The sequence below is a fragment of the Homo sapiens genome, chromosome 5, assembly GCF_000001405.40.
Source record: "Homo sapiens chromosome 5, GRCh38.p14 Primary Assembly".
Taxonomy (NCBI): domain Eukaryota; kingdom Metazoa; phylum Chordata; class Mammalia; order Primates; family Hominidae; genus Homo; species Homo sapiens.
Window position 1 is genome coordinate 171,272,978 of NC_000005.10, and position 18,112 is coordinate 171,291,089.

Below are 18,112 nucleotides of genomic sequence, written 5' to 3' on the forward strand. Positions count from 1 at the left end.
AGTAGGACACGTAGTCTTGAGAAGGTCAGAATCTAGTTGTACAGCTGTGTTATAATGCCCTTTGTGACTTTTCTTTAATGCCTCCGAGGTAGCTCTTGAGGTTTAACCTGATTTTTCCAGGACAGAATCAATATGGCAGCTGTGAAATGATGATAGGGAAGCACCATGTGCTTTGCATCTCTCTCCCGTATCCAGCACATCTCTCTTCATTGTCCTGACTTTCACCACTGATTCATCAGCATAGAATGCCATTTTTAACCTCTTTCTGGTTGTAAACTGCTTCTGTTTTCTAAAGGAAATTTCTGCTGTTGAGTACCATTAACTCTATCAGTGGTCATTCTTAAGGTCTGAATCTACACCTGAGTTCCTTTGACCCTCCTTCTCACTTTCCTACCCATTATAACTATACCAGGTGTCACAAACTAAGATGCCTGTAGGGCCAAGAAGCAGAAAACCTGAATGAGGTAGACATGAAGGAATCCTCAAGTTGAGTGCACATCTCTGTCTAAAGGGGGCAGCCTCAGCACACCTCCAGCTAATTGTTGCCTTATAAGAAGGTCAGACCCAGTGTTGCCAGATACATTGAAATTTCTCCCTTGAAAAACAGCCAGAAATTCAGATTTTAAATGTAGCCACTGATTGAAAATTAAAAAACAAAAAATTGAAACATTTGGCAGGCCAACACTGTATGCCTGGATACCAGCTTTCCACTTCTGTAGTATACAATCTTAAGGAATTTCAGAACTAAGATCTCCCAGTGCATGTTACCTTGTATTTCTCACAGCCAACCCAAACAGCACTGCTACAGTGATATTTTTATTTCCATCTGGTTCTTTTTAAACTTCTGAAGCATACTTTTTTGGTTAGTTTTAAAAGGATGTAGTTATTTTGATTTTACTTAATCTGGGGCTTTGGGGGTTATTTCTTAATTTATTTTGCTCTTGCTTTTACTTTTACTATACTTGTCTACTGGAACTTAAAGGGGCCATTTTATCACTTTTGGGTTACATCTTTGCACACAAGGAATACAATAAACAGGCGATGAAGTGAAACTGACCTAATACTTTTCAAACTTTCTTTTTCTTCAAAATAGCCAGGTTTGTTTGAGATAAAAATAAAGTTTAGTTTGATCAAGTGTGTGTGTGTGTGTGTGTGTGTGTGTGTGTGTGTGTGCGCGCGCGCGCGCGTGCGCAAAATCTAACTACTGAGGATCAAAATAAAATAAGAGGTCTGGGACTGGACAAAAGTATCTAGGTAACAACCAGGTAATAAAAGTCCAAAAGAGAGTAAACCTCTTAAGAATGAAAAATTTGTGACCATTGCCTCAAGAGATCCGTTTAGAAAGTTAATGCTTATAATTTAAAAATAGAGAAACACTAGTTTTTTTAATATTAAGATGACATTTTACCTATGATGTTATGAAAGTACTTATCTATCTTTTCAAGAATGATCTAGTCCAGATCCTTTGTTATTAACCATATCTTTGCTATTTTAATTTAATTTTTATTATAGAAATATTTGATGAATGACTATTTCAATGGTAACAAAATTGGTATTTTAAAACAGAAAAAGCAATTAAAAAATATATTTGTTATTGATTTATAAGTCATCAAATTAACATTGTAGCCATAAGAATACATATTTATAGAGTGATTTTTTTCTCCCTCAGAGATCACCTACATCCTGATACTTGTCCCAGCACCTACCAGAGCCTGACACTTCATGATAGTCAATAAGTGTTTGCAAAGTAAACCCCCAAAATATTAGTTTTCAGAAGTATGATCTGCAGGCAATGATTTTAAGTATCAAACCTAGTGTAGTCATAGACTGCTACATAATAAACCAAATGGAAATGCTAAGAGAAGATTATATCATAATATACTATAGAATAACCCTGCTGAACTTCTACAAGAAAATTTTATTCTAAACATGGGTGAAGAAAGAAAAAAGTACTTCAAATATTGTTCCAAATGGTTAACAGAACAGAGAGGAACCCCCTTCCCAACCCCCACTAGGACATGTGTTTTTCTACCTCTAAGCACAGTTTAAGGATGTAACCCATTGATAGCATAACTTGCCTTATTAATTGAAAGGGATGGAATCCACCAGATGTACCCAAACCAGCAGAGAGTTGGGTGACTAAGCAACAGCAAAGACACCATATTGAGTGAGCCAGAATCCAGTCTCCAAGTCATTTATTTCAGCCAGTGACAATACATTTAAACTCCTGTGCCTCAGCAGTGATTGATGGTTTAATATCATATATAATTTTTTTAATGAAGGAAAACCATTTAAATATGTTACCATTTGCACTGGTATTCTCCTATGTACATAACTGCATTTAATCATTATGGGGATTGTTTTTATACTTGTGTAATTTGTATCCAAGAAATAACTGTCAAAGTCATCTCATGCTGTTGCTGGAAATGGTACAGTGTGCTTCATACTTGAATAGATTCATTCTTCCTGTACATAATTAAGAGTATTGGAGCTTTCACTATTACCACATAGGAATTCCATGTTTACATTTCGGAGAATGAAAAATTAGCCACAATGTGCTTTTTCAGGTTCCCATTTTCTGAGGCTATGATATTTAAGCACCTTAGTTTTGTGCCAGTGTATGATTTGAAGAGTTTGATTTTAAGACTTTTAATATTAAAATACATAATAAAATTTTATTGTCTAATTACAAGAGGGTTTAGCCTCTTATTAAAGTTGCTAAATCAGGCCTAGATTAGCATTATAATGGCACAGTTTGACATGGAATACTCAAAAGTCAAGTTCGAGGGAGCAGAGGGTTTTTTTGTTGTTGTTTTTGGTGGGGAGGTTCCCCTACCCCCACCCCTCACACAAAATAACATGGATGAAATGCACGTATGGAAACAAACAAGGAGCAATTTGGAACGCTGAAGAAGGAGTGGAGGTGTCAGTCTAGGATGGTACCCTTAGGCAAGGCAGCTGGTATATGTAGCCTTTTGTTTATCTGCTACTGGTTTATGTAGCCTTTAGGCCGGCACCAGAAACAATCACTCCTACAGGGTCAGCTGCTGGTCAGAAGCAAAGTAAGAAAAGATTTTGCGTCCAAACACAGCAGCCATAATTTCTGTACAGCTGGCACCTGCTACTGGTGCACAGCATGAAGGTGAAAGGTCAAAGAGGCAGTTGTTCAAAACTCAAGAATGGCTTAAAGGGACTTGTAGATTAATCTGCTTTATTAACTTCTGTATATTAGATAACTATTGCTGTGAATGACAGTACATCTTTTTGAATAAGTCACATCTCTTTCTCTTTTAAATTAGCTTTTGAGTAATGAATATTAAATAGAAAGCATTTCAGGGGTAATTAAATGAAAACAGAATGATGTCATTTTACAATTATATTTGTATGTTTATAGAATAGGGGAATTATAATGTTTTACAAGGAGCTAAAAGAAAAAAAGAAGCCAGCTCTTTGTGAAGAAGAATTTGGAATACATAAGCCACGTATCCATTTGGCTTTGTCTTTAAACTAAAAAATATGATGTGGTTTGGAACTTAGTGTGAAGTCATTGGGTGCCAGTGGCCTGATTTGGTATTCTCAGGGGCTCCAAATGCTTTCCTTATAAATTAAAGGGGACTGTAATCTGTCATCTCTCTTTTATCTACAGTTTAGCTATTAGTCTGCAACAAATGTTCTCAGGATAGCAAAGGAGTGGTAAAAAAATAAACAACAGCCATACCTTTTTGCTCACATTCATGTAAAGCAGATAGAGAATATTTCATAAGGGAAGAAAGGACAGCTACACAGGGTTAGCCCAATAATAATTAGGCATGCTTTATAACAGTCACTCACAAGTATGGCAAATGGCAACCAAAATGGTTTTTAACCTCTTCATTAATAGTGGTTGGCATAATTGCTATTATTTTAAATCAAGAATAAAAAGAATTCACTAAATGTATCTTAAAAAAAAAAAAAAAAAAAAAAAAAACCTCTGCAAGGAAAATTTCTAACCCATAGATTAAATACTAACCCCAACTCTGGGAAGCGTTTTAACAATATGTATTCAAAAGGAATTGCTTTTATCTGTTGACATTCAGTGATTTTTGGTTTGTCTTTTTTTTTTTTTCTTAAGAATTCTCAGAAAAAGAAGCACTGCAGAGAACATCTGTGTCTTTATGCTAACATAACACAGATAGCAGCATTTATGTCTATTTCACACATAGAAGTTATTTAGGATTTCACTTGCACTCCCAAGTTTTGATACAAGTGCAGCCTTTCTACTCTTATTGTTTTTATGACATAAGAAAATGACACCTAGGATCGTCTCCCTGCATCACACGAAGCTAGCCTAAGACTTACCAGACAGATCCTAAATCTGTATGACTACCACAAAAAGGATGGCTACCTTGGCCAGAAAATAATGATTCAGTAATGTTTTCTTACCATACTATTCCAAAGAACCTTCATACATCCTTCTTGAAGACCTAAGCATTTCCTTCATTCTGTAACAGAAGCCTTATTTCCTGCAGGGTTTCTGGGACATAAGATGTCGCTATAGAAGGAAAACCTCAGGCTCGAACAGAGAATTTTAATAAGAATGATTATGATGAAAAAAAAAACCACTAGAATCAATTATATGCTAGGCTGTGTGCTAAGTGCCTTACGTATACATATATGTATGTATATATATATATATATATATATATATATATTTATGTCTTACAGCTCTGTGAGGTAGGTATTTTATCTCCATTTTGTAATCAAAATATTGTAATTATAGCTCTGAGAAGTTAAAAAACTCACCCAGTATCATACAGCTAATAAGTAGCAGAACCTGTGCTCTTAACCACTGTACAGTACTATTAACTAACTGGCCTAGAAACAGGATTGGCAGTGATGGAAGAGTGGCAGGAAGAGCCATACAGCATTCTTCAATCAAGAACTGAATTGAGTCTTCAGTCCTTGAGCCTAGGACTTCTTTCTTTTTTTTTTTTTTTTTTTTTTTTTTTTTTTGATTTTTTAGAACTGATTGGACAGGAGGTAGACATTTGACCCAAGCTGGCTCAGTTTGAGTCGTTCCTCCCTAGATTTAGAAACTGGCACTTAACAGATGCTGGTTGCCAGGCACAGTGGCTCATGCCTGTAATCTCAGCAATTTGAGAAGCTGAAGCTATTTAGGATTTCACTAAAAGCTGAAGCAGGAGGATTGCTTGAGGCCAAGGGTTCCTGACCAGCCTGGGCAACATAGCAAGACTCTGTCTCTACAAAAAAAATTAAATTGGCCGGGTGTGGTGGCTCACGCCTGTAATCTCAGCACTTTGGGAGGCCAAAGCGGGTGGATCATGAGGTCAGGAGTTCGAGACCAGCCAGACCAACATGGTGAAACCCCGTCTCTACTAAAAATATTCAAAAATTAGCTGGGTGTGATGGGGCATGCCTGTAATCCCAGCTACTTGGGAGGCTGAGGCAGGAGAATTGCTTGAACCCAGGAGGCAGAGGTTGCAGTGAGGCGCCATTGCACTCCAGCCTGAGACTCCATCTCAAAAAAAAAATTTATAAAGATGCTGGTCAGCCACTAGTCCTCACCTAAATTGAAGACGTGAAAACTCAAGAGCCATGAGGCAGCCATTCCCTGCCATATGCTCAGAGAAATAGCCAGTCCTAGAGGAGAGAAAAAAGAAGCAGACATGCCGAGGATCTCAAATGAGAGGCCAAGCAGCCCCAGAGAAAGAAAAAGACTGAGAAATACCCTGCCAGCTGCCTTGTCCATGGTTCCAAGCCCTTGAGAGACTTAACTGCACTGCCTTGTCTGGGGGTGAAACTACCCCTTATAGACTTAAGTTTTATCAGAGACCACTCTTGACTCGGGAGAGTTGTGAGGACAAAATGAACCAATGAGTATAGACTTACCTAACACAAAGAAAGTATTCGATAAACACGTAAAATTCGCCTTCACTTTGAAAAACGATATGCAGGTACCACTTTTTTGTGTCCTTGAGGGGAAAATATCCCTGCTATTTATACTATAAATGTGAAAAATACCCTTTCAGGAGATTCCAAGCCCAAGACTTCTTTTCAAAGATAATTTGATTTTGAAGCCATATCACTGAGATCTTTCCTGGTCCCATCCCTGTGTTTTGCCTTTCTTAATGTTCTTTCTGTGATAAGCATTCTCAAAATCACACTCACTGGACTGGGTGAGGGCATGGTGTGGTGTGAGTTTGAAATTCTTGGCCCCAAACTGACTTTTTTCTTACCTGTTCCTCCTGCATACTTCAGGCATTGCCTTGCAGTGGCCAAAATGAAATAAATCTAATTTCTTAGTCCATTATGTGCTATTATAGCAGAATACCGTAGATTGAGTAATATGTAATGAACAGAAATGTATTTGCCTCACAGTCTTGGAGACTAGGAAACCCAACGTCAAGGGTCTGCATCTGGCAAGGGCCTTCTTGCTGTGTCATCTAATGGAGGTGGGTGGAAGGGCAAGAAAGAGCACCAGGAGGCCAAACTCAACCTTTTTATAAAGAACCAATCCCAGAATAATGGCATTAATCCAAGCATGAAGGCAGAGCCCTCATGCCTAATCACCTCTTAACGCTGTTGCATTGGGGATTAGTTTCTAACATATTCTTTTTGGGGGACACATTCAAACCATAGTACCTCATAATTCTTCCCATTCATATAATGTCTTCATACCTAATGTCTCTGATTCTCACAATAACCCTAACAGGGAGATAAGGCCAACACGGATTTTTTTTTTCTAACTGAGGAGTCTAGGTACATCAACAAATTTAATCCTGCAGTGACTGTATGAGAGACCTATGCAGAGATTCAGAGATGTGTGAAAGAACTTGCCCAAGTCACACAGCTAGGAAATAGTAGCATCTAGATTATAATTAAGGCTTCTTATCACTAGATCTCACACAGTTTTTATAATACCACACTAAGTTTTCGCAGGGCCTTAACCTACTATTTCTCTGTGGCATTTCTTCTTACCTTTTCATCCCTGTCTAAGAGAGACAGCAGAGTAAATGAGAAGGTTTCCCCTGCCTTCATTTCTCTGCATGGAATTGTGAGTGGTGTGAGAAGCTCTTTGAATTTCTTCAAAGAATGGCACAGTATAAAGTAAGAGTGGGCTTAATAAATCACATGACTTATTTATTTTACAGTTATTACTGGTTTTTCACATACTTGCAGGTTAGATTATGTGATTCCCAAAGTGTAGTGTGCTGTAGTGTGCTGGAAATGTGAATCCAACCTTTACATTCATTTCTCTCTTAACTCATGGAAAGTTGTTTTTTGGGCTTTTTGGGGGTTTTGTTTTTGTTTTTGTTTTTAAATAGGATATCACCTTGTCGCCCAGGCTGGAGTGCAGTGGCACAATCTCAGCTCACTGTGACCTCTGCCTCCCAGGCTCAAACGATCCTCTCACCTCAGCCTCGCAAGTAGCTGGGATTACAGTTGTGCATCACCACACCCAGCTAATTTTTTTGTATTTTTGGTGGAGACGGGGTTTCACCATAGTGCCCAGGCTGGTCCCAAACTCCTGAGCTGAAGTGATCCACCCACCTCCCAAAGTGCTGAAATTACAGGTGTGCACCACCATACCTGGCCTTAACTCATGGAAAGTTTAACCAGCAGTAGCCACTGATGGAGCTGTGAGTTTATATAGTGTGTTGAGGAAGACTCCTTGTTTGTCTGTAATCTTATCACTATTTGAAGAACAAGGTAAAAAGAGGTTCCCTCATCCTCTGGCCTTTCATGAATTAATGCTGCCTCTTATGCTTTGCAACCTAGAAGAGTTCTTGCTTATTCTCTGTCCCTTGGCACGCTTAGAAGAATATAGACTGAGTGCTTTCAAATGACTGAAATTTCATCCTCCTTTCTAAGTTTTTAAATTGCAAATTCTCCATATTTGTTGGGACTTTCTATTTTACAGCAATCAGGGCAGACAGGTTTTACAGTCGGTATACCTGGTTTTGAATACCAGTTATACTATTTGCTAACTGTATGTCCTTGGAATAGTTACTCCACCTCTTGGAGGATAACACCACCTCACCCAAGGGAATTCTATAGCTTACCTGAACTGGCCTCCAGGATCAGATAACTGAACCACTCCCTCCTGTGGTGTCATTCCCAGACTTTAGTTAAGACTCACTGTCTTAGATTCTCTCCCAGTCCATCACTCCCTCAGCCTAGTCTGTAGTCTGGAACATTGGTACCATGGAAAAGGAGAACATTTGAGTATATGCTTCGTTGAGATCCTGTAAACAAAAAATGTCAAGTAAACTCCCAAGAAAGACAGTGATGGAAAGTGCAAGGTCTGAAGAGAAATCTCTTAGGCACCAAGGCAACCTACCAGAAAGAAAACCCTAAAAAAGAGCTCAGTGTGCATGCCCATATTTAATGTGGCTTCTTATTTTACATGGGGCAAACAAGTTCCACTAAGGTCAGGGAACTAAAAGCATCAATTAGAGATAAGTGCATTTAGGGATCTCTCTGAACCCCTTAAGACTGGAAGGAAACAACTTGATGGGTGGGCAGTAGAAGATTAATAAATACTAAGGCTACATGAGCCCTGAAGGCCGCAGAGACCACACTTGATCCAATTCCGTACCAATGGTGCTTGACACACAGTAGGAGGTCAGAAATTCCTTGAGCAGTGAGTAAGTGTGAGAAATGAAGAGGGAGGGGAAAAGACAGAAGGAAAAGTCCCTAGCACAGTACCAGACACACTGTAGGTCCTCAATAAGTATGAAGTTACATGTGTGCACCTAGCACATAAAAAGAGCTAATAATAGAATATTATTGACTTGAAATATACACAGGTGAAAGAAACCTTGTAGATAACGAGAGGCATTCATAGTCCCTCCTGAGGCTTAGCCTGTTTTGGAGACTGCACCTTAAGGGCAGAAGTTCCACGCTAGGCCATTTAGTACACTTACCCCTCAAGAGAGTAAGCCCTCCCTCCCCAACTTCATCTTTTTCCTTGGCCCCTTGCATTGCAGAGAGCCTGAAAACAAATTGACAGAAATCTGGAGGAAAGAAACTCAAGTGATTTAGGAGAATGGAAGGGCTGGCTTATCGGGGCAGATTAAAGAAGCTAAATATGTATAGCTTACCTAAGTGACAACTAAATGGGGCATTTGATAAGTCTATAAATACTTGGAAGTTGTAAATGCCAAGAAGGAAAGGGAATTACTTAGCATGGCACGATGGACTATTGGCATAATGGAATAATATTAAGAAAGGGAAAATGAAGGTTGAACATCAATAAAAAGCTTCCTGACAAACAGAACTATTCCTGACAGGGTACACTATTAAGTTATGTGCTATAGGCCAAGGGAAGTAATGTCAGTGCCATTTCTCAGAGTACTGGCAACAGAGCCAGTAAGATAGGACCCAAGAAGTGTCCTCTTGACGAAGGCACAGGAGCCAAGCAGGAAACCTTCTGTGTCTGTGGCTTCCCAATCCTAGAAAAGGAAGAAAGCTGCATGTTGTTGTTGTTGTTGTTGTTGTTGTTGTTGTTGTTGTTGTTGTTAGATGGAGTTTTCTGTCGCCCAGGCTGGAGTGCAGTCACATGATCTCAGCTCACTGCAGCCTCTGCCTCCCTGGTTCAAGCAATTCTCCAGTCTCAGCCTCCCAAGTAGCTGGGATTACAGGTGCGCACCACCACTCCAGGCTAATTTTTTGTATTTTTAGTAGAGACGGGGTTTCACGATGTTGGCCAGGCTGGTCTTGAACTCCTGACCTCAGGTGACCCACCTGCCTCGGCCTCCCAAAGTGCTGGGATTACAGGCGTGAGCCACCGCACCTGGCTGAAAGCTGCATCTTCTTGGGAAAAATCAGATGGCCCAGACCTCCTAAAGGCTCAGACCCTGTGGAGAATGGTTAAACCAGCAGTTCACTACCACATCACTGCCAGAAAGATTTATTCAGCTTTAATGGCACCCCATTTCCTGCACACAAGATCTGCGCCCAACCTATGTAATCACCCTCATCTGCCACCAGTACTCCCCATCCACCCTTTCCATTCCCACAGAACTGCTCCTCATTCCCCCAGACTCCTCTCCAAACCTTTGCACCTGCTTGCCCTTCTTCCTACCTGACTGTCAAACTTCTCTTATTCTCAACAACAGATCCAAATGTCACCTTCTCTATGAAGCCATCCCTGGCTGCTTCCAGCCCTAGGCAGGGTTAGCCTCCTCTGGTTTCTAAAAGCCCCTTGTGTAAGCTTCTGTTTATGGCCACTTAAACTGTATCTTCTGCCATTGTTTCTATACTGTGTATCTCCTCCCCTACTCAACTGTAAGCTCTTTGAGGGCTGGGACTGTGACTTGTTCATCTGTATATTCCCAGGGTTTGACACAGAGCCTTGCCCAAATTAGGTGGTCAGTAAATGTTTAAATGAGGAATGAGGTTCTATTCCCAACGCTTTCAGTCACTAGCATTCCTTGGGCTATGTAATTATTAGGGAAAAAGAGCTTCCAAATCTCAGTAGCGTCTTTGAATCATCTCCCTGGCCTCTTGGCCAGCACTTTCTGTGCCATTAGATAACTATAAATAAAAACTCTCAAATCTGAAAATTCTGCATGGTTTAAATATAAACTCTAATACTTAATGGAAAATATTTCTGAAGGGTCCCATGAATTGTCCACAAGAATAATTTTCCCCCATATGAAAAATGAAAACATTTTGGATCCTTTCGTAGTTCATGAGCATGATGATTGGGTGTTCACGTGCATATGTGAACCCTAAGCAGTGTGCATATCCATGACAGAGATAACTATAAGCACATGTTTGTATTATTCAGTAATAAACTCTAACTGAGGCCATTCAAAAGAAAGAGACTGGGGAAACACTGTCTCTTACTCACAGCTCTTTCTCCGCATCTCTGTTTTTATGTCTGACTCTGTCTCTGAGAGTTTCTGTTTCTTGGTCTCTCTCACAGTCTCTTTCTTCTTGGTACATTACAATATTCATTGCACTCTCCTTTGATGACTGCATGAGACGCCCTCGTGCCATTATGCTTATGCTGTTCTGTTGTGAAGTACGATAATAATTGGGAAATGTTTGGTGACTGTTTAGTAACGTGGAGTGCTGTTTCCCCGCTCCCTTCCTTGCTTTTGAATGGCCTCAGTTAGAGTTTACTTTCTCACTGAATATTTACTATAAACGTGTGCTTGTAGCCATCTCTGTGATGCATATGCACGCTGCTTAGGGTTCCATTCATTGCCATAGCCACCTAAACAGCAGCCACCTCTACACTACCTGTAGCATTTCTGGAACAGTCTGGCATCCTTCTCTTCATTGGAAGTCTTGACTTTGAGGCCATGTTCTTTTTATTTCATTTTATTTTATTTTATTTTGTTTATTTATTTTGGAGACAGAGTTTCACTCAGTCACCCAGGCTGGAGTGCAGTGGCATGATCATGGCTCACTGCAGCCTTAGCCTCCAGGGGTCAAGCAATCCTCCCACCTCAGCCTCCTAAGTAGCTAGGACTACAGGCACACACCACCACACCTGGCTAATTTTTGTATTTTTTTGTAAAGGTGGAGTTTCACCATGTTTCCCAGGCTGGTCTCGAACTCCTGAACTCAAGCAATCTGCCCACCTTGGCCTCCAAAGTGCTGGGATTACAGACGTGAGCCACGCGCCCAGCCTGAGGCCATGTTCCTAAAGCTCTGAATTTATCCACAGCTTCAGTATGTTTCTAAGGTTATGCTTCTTAGAAGTATTTCACTGGGAAGAAAATGGGGTATGCAGTCAAGGATTCTGGCCATTTCTGTCTGTCTCTGCTACCCTACCCCTCAACTCCCCTCATTTTGAATTTCTTGCAGTATCTAAACTTCTTACCTTGCCTCTGGTACTTACCCGTAATTGCTGTTCTCCAGAACCTAATCAGTATTGTTCTAAATGGCAGACCTCATCATGTCACCTTCTCCTGGAAAATTCTTTGAAGGCTACCCTTCATGTATTAGCCCAAACTCGTTTCTATATTCAGCATGGCATAAAAGCCCTTTTATAGCCTGGACCAAGCCCAGTCTTCTACTCCTTGCCCCTTAAATCTACTCCCTGCCACTCAAAAGGTCTTTTTCAAAAACCTCCTGTGCATGGGCTGTTCGTTCCTCAAACATGCCAAGCTCTGTCTCCAGTGTCTTTTCTCATTTTATTTCCTCTTCCAAATATATACTTCTTCCCAGGTAATGCTATATGCATCTTTTAAGATTCAACTTAAAATCACCTATCCTATGAAGATAGGCTGGTCTTTTTAGATAGAATCAGAGCACATGTGCCTGTGTTAGTCTCTCTTAAGCTTGCACACATTGTTTGCTAGTTGGGGGACCCCCAGAGGCTGGTATAGGCCATTAGAGGTTCTAGAACCTATGTGGTAGTCATTCAGGAAGTACCATGAACCAAAAATAAGTGTCACTTGAATAAAAATTAGGGGAAAGTGGCTTTGGAGTTGAAAGTTGTTCCTCAAAAATACAGATCTTCCCTCATTCCTACCCAGAGGAAATTTAGATGGTATTTTTGACAAGTAATCCTTAATTTTTACATCAAATCGAAAAGTGTTCTGTTTGATATTGGCAAGAGTGAGAGTTTCCCAAATAGTGCTGAGTGGCAAACCCTGCAGCCTTCCAATGCCCCAGGTTTTCTGGTTTTATTTTAATGCAGCAAGCTGCTTTATGAGATCTGCAGCCACTTGAAATATGATTTACTACTCGTAAAAAGTTTCAAATGGATAATGAAGATTCAGGAATGAGACTCACAGTGGTGTAGTGTAGTCAATTTTGTTGCTGTTGCTCCACAGTACATCTCTGCCATTGAAATGAATTATTTATCATAATTTATTTCAACCATGGAAAATAAAACTGCTTTCATTGTGATGTGTGCAGTAACATTCAGAATAGACACATTACATGCAGTACTCTCAATTAATTAATCCTGAAGTTTCATTCTAACTTTATCTTCTTTCTTACAAGCTAGGAGACTGACAGGTAATTCTTTCCCCAGTAAACTGTGATTAAAATGGATGTTTTGAGAACTAGGGGTAATGTTGGTAATAGAGTAAATTGAAACAGCAAAACTAGGTTGTGTTTTTCCTTAGATGTAACAATGGTTGGAAGAGTTTCTTAATTTTTGAAGCAATTAATCACTTTGAGCAAAAGCATCCCTTAGCTTTCCGTAAGGAGGGGATGGCAGAGTGGGGGATGCTTTTAGTTGAGATGTGGAAGCATGCAGTGCTAATATATGACCAAAACCAGCTGAGTTTCCTGGTCCTGAGGTGCTTTTGAGGTAAAAAGCTTCTTTTTTTAACAGCAAGACTAGCATTGTGCAAAGAACAAGTTGGCAGGGATCCCCAGTGATTCCAGGGGAGAGCAGGTCATCTGTAATTGATTGCAGTCTTGTTTTTTTAAAAGAGAGGTGCACCTCATCCTGCATTTCATTTGACTTTTTTTTAATTTAAAATGCTAAATACTTTTATTATAAGGCTACAAAAACACTATAAGCAGTTAGTAATGTTATTTTTATATATAGATAATTTTAAAATTTAATGTAACTTAGATGGTAGAACTTAGTTAATCCAGGCAGGAAAATATAACTAATTATATGCTTATTTATCCATTATGTTCATTTTTCATAGCATTCCACTAATATCACATAGGCGAATAGCAGACAGAGAGAACAATTGATTTCTTTTCCCTAAAGATAACTATTATCTAATTTGAGCAGGATCACATTTCAATATCCGCTGTACACATGGCCTCAGGAACAGCATTTCAAAATGACAGAAACCCCCTTACTTCCACAAACCCTGAAAATCTGGAAGCTTTTTCTCTTTCAGTAGCACTCAGATTTTGCCTAATCCTGGGTCTCCAACCAGGGCATGGGGCTTAGGTGAAATTGCTGTGGAGATGGGTAGGTTTCTCTGCTTTTTCAAATCCTACTCTACTGTAAGCAATCATGTTTTTTGTTTGTTTGTTTTTGTTTTATTGTTTTTGTTGGGGCCAGCCTTCCCCTTCTCTTTTACTGACCTTCTGAAAGGCCAATGACAAGTGCCAGAAAATTCCTGAGACTCAGAAGCAGCTCTTGAAACTTAGATGCATTTATTATTGGTTGTTCCTCAAAACATGACCAACTTACTGAATCAGAATGAAGGACAATCTAGCTTGGTCAGAAGTACAGATAATTTTGTATCCTATTCCTCTTCCCATTAAGGCTGACAAATTAAGATTAACAGATTGGCCGGGTGCAGTGGCTCACGCCTGTAATCCCAGCACTTTGGGAGGCCAAGGTGGGCGAGTCACCTGAGGTCAGGAGTTCAAGACCAGCCTGGCCAACATGGTGAAACCCCATGTATACTAAAAATAGAAAAAAAGCTGGGTGTGGTGGCCCGTGCCTATAGCCCCAGCTGTTTGGGAGGCTGAGGCAGGAGAATTGCTTGAACCCCGGAGGCGGAGGTTGCAGCAAGCCGAGATCACAACATTGCACTCCAGCCTGGGCGACAGGAGCGAAACTCCATCTCAAAAAAAAAAAAAAAATGATTAACAGATTAAGTTATCCTATTCTATGGTGCATACCCTATTGGGCACAGCTCTGATCATCCTTTTTTTTTTTTGTCCTCTGCCCTCCCCAGTCCCCACCCCCTATCCAGGTCCAGATACAGGGATGCTTTGTCATTGGTCTCTCACCTTTTCTTTGGTCTGTCTTTTTGGTCTGTCCTTCCTTCGCCTAAACCAGAGCCTTCTTTTTTGTTGTTGCTGTTGTTTTTTGTTTTTTGAGATGGAGTCTCACTCTGTCACGCAGACTGGAGTACAGTGGCATGATCTCAGCTCACTGCAACCTCCACCTCCTGGGTTCAGCCAGGCTGGACCAGGGTTCATATCATCACTTTAGCTTCAGTTTTGTCTTTATGGTACCAATGGGGAGCAGGAGGGAATAGTCTGAATTTTTTTCTCCTGTTTCTTAGAACTTTATGGAATTTTTTTTAGTTATATTATTCAGTATGCTTAACATTAACAATAAAAAGTGTTCATTTTACTCAAGGGAAATTGGCTTAATTTACTAATGCTTCCTATTTTGTTAATTTAAATTGCTGTGTACATTACTTTTGGTGGGAGGAAAGTCATTATTTTTATCAAAATGTTCAGTGGACCATTTTCCAGAGACAGCCTGTTAAGGCTGCCATTGTTCATCATGAGAGTCTGAAAATGTTGACCAACTCTGCTATAAAAGCCTTAGGTGGGAGGCAGGAAGGTCTGCTGAGAACTCTCCAGGAATCACTACCCTGGATTCTAACCACAAGAATTTCAGTGGTGGCCTCACTCATCAGTAGGCGCCAAGGGTGTCTGAATGGAGGAGGTACACATGGACCACATACCTAAGAGATTCACTGAAGGTGGAAGAATGAGCCATGGCCAGAAATGAGCCTTTTTTGTCACACCATCAGTCCTCCAGATGTGTAAAGTAGGTCGTACAGCCTCAGCCACTATGCTGGTGGTCTTGGTCCTCACTCAGACAACAAGACAGTGGCAGCCAGCAGACTGGCATGATGGACTTAGGCAGACCTATGCACATATCCCGGTTCAGCTTCACATCCTGGTAGCTGCAGTACCTTGAACAAGTTATTTATTTGCCCAGAACCTCAGATCCTTAGTCTATAAAACGGGAATAATATCTACTTCCCATGGTTAGTTGAGAATTAGAGATGATGTATGCAAGTGCCCAGCAGAGCACTGAGCACCCAGAAGATGCTCCATAAATGAGGGCTATTATTGTTGTTGGATGGTGGGAATACTTGTCAGGCACAGCCTACTGTTAGGTGAAAGTTCTTGTCATTAGAAATGATGGTGCCCTGGCCTTTGACCTTTGCAACCTGCAAGCCCCTACAAAGGCACTCTCTGGAGCTGGCTATAGGACAGCAGTGGCATGGAAGAGTTCTCAGGCTGTACACACAAAAACAAGATCCTTGCAAATGAACAATGTATTAATTCCAGTATGTAACCATTTTAAGTTTTAGTCATAGATTAAGACAAGAACTTCCCTGTTTTCTGTACAGTGCCCTTTCAACTCTTTAGCTCTTTATACTTTACCTTATGATACTTCATTCATCCTTTTGCATTTATTCATTTATGTATTTACTCTTTCAGTTGCTCTTTCCTAAATCTCTGATGTGTGCCAGTGCCTAACCCTAGGCCCTGGGGATACAGTACCACAGGAGTTTGCAATCCAGTCTCCTCACCCCACTGCCATTGCAATCATCACCCTGTACTCATTCAAGTTGGCTTTTTCCATTTTCTCAGCCTTTGCTCCTATTTCTCCAACCATCCTGCTCTTTGATAAGGTCCAGCCATCAGATTCTAGACCCACTGAGCCTTCAACTTTCTTAGAAAAAAATACAGTTCACTCTCTAGCAGTAAAGCATCCAACACAAACCACATCTTTGTCTATTCTATTTCAGCAGGAGACAGAACAGACGGGGTTTAAATTGGGCATTTCGGCCAGGCACAGTGGCTCACTCCCAGCACTTCGGGAGGCTGAGGGGGGAGGATTGCTTGAGGCCAAGAATTGGAGACCAGCCTGGGCAACAAAAAGAGATCTGGTCTCTACAAAAAAATCAAACCATTAGCCAAGTATGGTGGCACCTGCCTGTAGTCCCAGCCACACAGGAGGCTGAGGTGGAGTTGCTTGAGACCAGGAGTTCGAGGCTGCAGTGAGCCATGATCACACCACTGCACTCCAGCATGAGCATCAGAGTAAGACCCCATCTCTAAAAATGAACAGGCTAGGTGCAGTGGCTCACGCCTGTAATCCCAGCACCTCGGGAGGCCAAGGCAGGCAGATCACTTGAGGTTAGGAGTTTGAGACCAGCCAGGCCAACATGGTGAAACCCCATCTCTACTAAAAATACAAAAATTAGCCAGGTGTGGTGGCACATGCCTATAGTCCCAGTTACTTGGGAGGCTGAGAGAGTAGGATCACTTGAGCCCAGGAGGCAGAGGTTGTAGTGAGCTGAGAGCGTACCACTGCACTCTAGCCTTGGTGATAGTGACAGGTGAAATCCTGTCTCAATAAATAGTGAGCATTTAGTTACCGCCTTGCCATAGAGAAAGTATGACTCGGGCCAGACGCAGTGGCTCATGCCTGTAATCCCAGCACTTTGGGAGGCGGAGGCAGGTGGATCACGAGGTCAGGAGTTCGAGACCAGCCTGACCAACATGGTGAAACCCTGTCTCTACTAAAAAAATACAAAAATTAGCCGGGCGTGGTGGCACGTGCCTGTAATCCCAGCTACTCAGGAGGCTGATGCAGGAGACTCACTTGAACCCGGGAGGCGGAGGTGCAGTGAGCTGAGATTGTGCTATTGCACTCCAGCCTGGGCAACAGAGTAAGACTCCGTCTCAAAAAAAAAAAAAAGAAAGAAAGAAAAAGAAAGTATGACACAGCGTATTTGGGTAGGAAAGTCCAATTTGCTTTATGCTTGTGCTTTACATCCCATGTTAGGGTAGAAGAATAAGAGAAGAGTTGGGGAATGAACAGAGATACAGATCACACAACATTGCTTTGTTTTACTTTTCCAGGTCAGATATTTGTAGAGTAATTTTGTGTTTTATTTAGAATTACAGGTTTTCAGAACAACAGAAACATTGTCATTCAAAATCCTTACAAATAACATGTGCCAGATCAAATAAGGATGCTTTCTGAACTGTTTCCTATTTTGGTTGTATATGTGTCTGTGTTTTACCTTAACCCTCAACAAAGTTAGATAGTTGTGAAGAGACTATAATCTCATTTATCTGTATCTAATCAGGACATGAATTGGGGCCCTTCATTGAGCGATGAAATTCCACTGGGCTAGACCTGAGAGAGTAGCTGCAGTAGCAGTGAAGGAGCAGTAGATTGAATGCCTACTATGTGGCAAGCACAGTATCAAATGCTTGATATATATCAGAGAAGTTATTCCTCACAGCAGCCCTTTGAAGTAGCTGTTATTGTCCTCCATTTTATATGTAAAGAAAGAAAGGCTCAAATAAGTGAAATGACTCGCCCAATGTCTCAAGTTAAGTGGCAGGGCCAGATTGGGGCTCCATTCTGATTGGCTCCAAAGCCTGGCTTTACCATACC

At 40.8% G+C, this 18,112-nt stretch overlaps 1 protein-coding gene and 1 pseudogene across 11 annotated transcripts in view; both read left to right on the forward strand.

Moving 5' to 3' along the window:
• Positions 1–18,112, forward strand: part of RANBP17 (RAN binding protein 17) — a 437,998-nt gene that overhangs the window by 410,960 nt on the left and 8,926 nt on the right. The gene's annotated exons all lie outside the window — the stretch shown is intronic.
• On the forward strand, positions 10,682–10,735 carry LOC124901217 (uncharacterized; annotated as a pseudogene).